Here is a 3,001-nt window from a genome sequence, read left to right on the forward strand (position 1 = left end):
AACAATTAGCCAAATTCAAAACATCACACATTAAAATAGATTATCAAAGAAAAATCATTTTTTCAGGTACTTGTGTGCACATTTAGGCTTCAATTAAAATTTAGTGATGGTGAGAAAGAATGAAAGATCATGCCACTTTTTATTGAATACTTGTCACTTTTTCTTAAGAAAACTTCAAAATAGATATAAAATTTTAAATAAAAAATGCTGTTATATTTCCTTTTAAGACACTGAAATTAGCATAAATATCTAACTTCCTGAGTCTTCTATGCAAATAATAAAATACAACAAGAAATAACCTACAAGAACCCTGAAAATTAAATAATGAATTTATTCATATGTTGAACACCTCAACGTAAACTATTTTCACAAATTGCAATTATGAAATAATAAACATTGTTTTATTAAGTAATGTACTCCACTATGAAACTGTATTAAAAAGCATTGAAACATTACATTTGGTTCAGTCCTCTGTGAACATTTTTCTTTTTCTATTTTCTTCTTTTATATATTTGAGCGAATTTAGAGCTCCAACCTTTATGAAACGTAAACAAAATGGGTTTTTGTTTATTATTGTGCTTTTCAAATTGAGGAAACTGTTTTAACATATCTTTGGAAACGATAGCAGCAATCATATTCAGTTATAATTCTATAACTTCATTTAGGGCAAATTTAATGGGCAGGCCTGTCTTTAGTCATCATTTGCAGCATTACACACTGAGCTATATTCAATAATTGTCATTAATTTATATAACAATATTTGCACAAAATTTCATTAAAAAATGTGTATACTTTGCATTTTTTTGCAATAATGTGAAATTTAAATGTGTAAATGATGTAAGTGGAACTGACTTGAAAACTTTTGTTAATATTTACAATTTATATTTTTTCATCTTTTTCTTTAAAGAGGAAAAATTTTAACTTTATGTAATTTTTAAGGGCACTTCAAGCTGAATAAAGGGACATCAGATCAGAGGGGCTCAAAATAGCCTATATTTTGACTTTTAAAAAACAATTAAGTATTTTGAAACATAAATTATCTTTTTTATTTGACTTATAAAGGCATAAAAAGATAGGACTGAAAAGGGTAGAAAAGAAAGTCTTGAATCTCTGATGCCACCCCTTCTCTCATCCTCTGACTGCAGCCACATGGTGTAAAGAGAAAATTTGCACTTTGGGGAGGGACAGCACAAGTGGTTGTGAGACTTTGCATTAAACTCAGTGCTGCCTTGTCACAGTGGAAAGCAAAACCAAGATGAACTCAGCTGACGCCTGCTCACAGAGAAAGCATTTAGACAGGCCCCAGCCAGAGGTGAATTCCCCATCCTAGTGGTTGGAACGTGAGTTCTGGCAAGACTTGCCTCATGGGCTGAAGTGCTCTGGGGTTCTAAGTCAACTTGAAACGTACTCTAGGCCACAAGGATGGCAATTCTTCAGCAAGTCCTAGTGCTGTTTTAGGCTTGGAGCCAGTAGACTTGCAGGGCACATGGTCTAGTGAGACACCAGCTGTGGTGGCTAAGGGTGTTCTTGCACCACCCGTCCCCAAACCCCAGGCAGCACAGCTCACAGGAACAAAAGTGCCTCTATCCTTCTGCTTGAGGAGATGAGAGGGAAGAATATAGAGGACTTTGTTTTGCATCCTGGATATCAGCTCAGCCACAGTAGGATAGGGCACTGGTTAGAACTGGGTGGGGGGGCCCATTCCAGGCCCTATCTTCTGGAAAGCATTTCTAGACACACCCTGGGACAGAAGGGGACTCACTGCCTTGAACTGACGGACCTAGTCCTGGCAGGATTTATCTCCTGTTGACTAAAGAGCCCTTGGGCCCTGAAGAACAAGCAGCAGTACCCACGTAGTACACCATGAGCCATAGGTAAGTCTGAGATGTGCTCGCTTCAAATGAGACCCAGCACACTCCCACCTGTGGTGGCTACAATGAGAGACTCCTTCAGCTTGAGAAAAGCAGAGGGTAAAGTAAAGGGATCTTCGTCTTGCATCTTAGATACCAGCTTGGACACACTGGGGTAGAGTACCAAGCAGGCTCTTGGGGTCCCTGATTCTAGCCTTGTTTCTTACACAGCACTTCTGGATCTTCTCTGGGCAAGAGGGGAACTCACTGCCAGGAAGGGTGATTCCCAAACCTGGCAGCATTCACCACAAGCTGACTATAGAGCCCTTGGGCCTTAAATGAGCATCAGCAGTAGCATGGCAGTACTCCTGTGGGCCTGTGGTGCTGGCGGTAGCCATAAGAAGAGATTTGTCTGCCGCTGGAAAGGGGAGGGTAGATGGGAAGAACTTTATCTTGTACTTTGATTGCCAACTGAGCTGCAGAAGGATAGAGCACCAGGTAGATTTCCAAGGTATTTGATTTCACTCCATGGCTCCTTGACAGCTCTGAACCCAGCTGGAGCCTGGGGGAACCTGCTGACCTGAAGGAAAAAACACAAGCTTAGCTGGCTTCACCACCTGCTGGTTATAGAGCCCTAGGACCTTGAGTGAACATCGGTGGTAGACAAGTAGTGGTTCCAGCAGGCCTTGGGTGAGACCTAGTGCTGTGCTGGCTTTAGATCTAACACAGCAGAGTCCCAGTGCTGGTGGCCACAGGGGGGCTTGTGTCACTCCACCTCTGGCTCCAGGCAGGTCAAGAGATAGAGAGACAGAGAGAGAGAGAGAGAGAGAGAGAGAGAGAGAGAGAGAGACTTTGTTTGTTTTTGAGAAAGTAAGGGAAGAAAACAAATTTCTGCTTGATAATCTGGAGAAGTCTTCCAGATCTTATCCAAGACCACCAAGGAAGTACCTGGGCCAGTGTGCAAGAACCACAACATTACTAGGCTTAGGGTGTCACCTAATGCAGATATGGTTAAAATCATAACACCCAAGTCACTTGAAATTCCTGGAAAGCCTTCACAAGAAGGACAGGTACAAACAAAGCCCAGACTGAAAAGACTATAATAAATACCTAACTCTTCTGTGGGTGCCCAGAAACTGATGAACACCCAC

At 41.2% G+C, this 3,001-nt stretch overlaps 1 annotated feature.

The window, feature by feature from the left end:
* Positions 2,199-2,700: an enhancer, noted in NCBI's record as "NANOG hESC enhancer chr4:63168339-63168840 (GRCh37/hg19 assembly coordinates)". NCBI's record gives its function as "activates a minimal SCP1, AML or CMV promoter by ChIP-STARR-seq in naive H9 embryonic stem cells {active_cell/tissue: H9 hESC(naive)}" and the evidence as "EXISTENCE:reporter gene assay evidence [ECO:0000049][PMID:30033119]".

This window comes from Homo sapiens, chromosome 4, assembly GCF_000001405.40.
Source record: "Homo sapiens chromosome 4, GRCh38.p14 Primary Assembly".
Taxonomy (NCBI): Eukaryota; Metazoa; Chordata; class Mammalia; order Primates; family Hominidae; genus Homo; species Homo sapiens.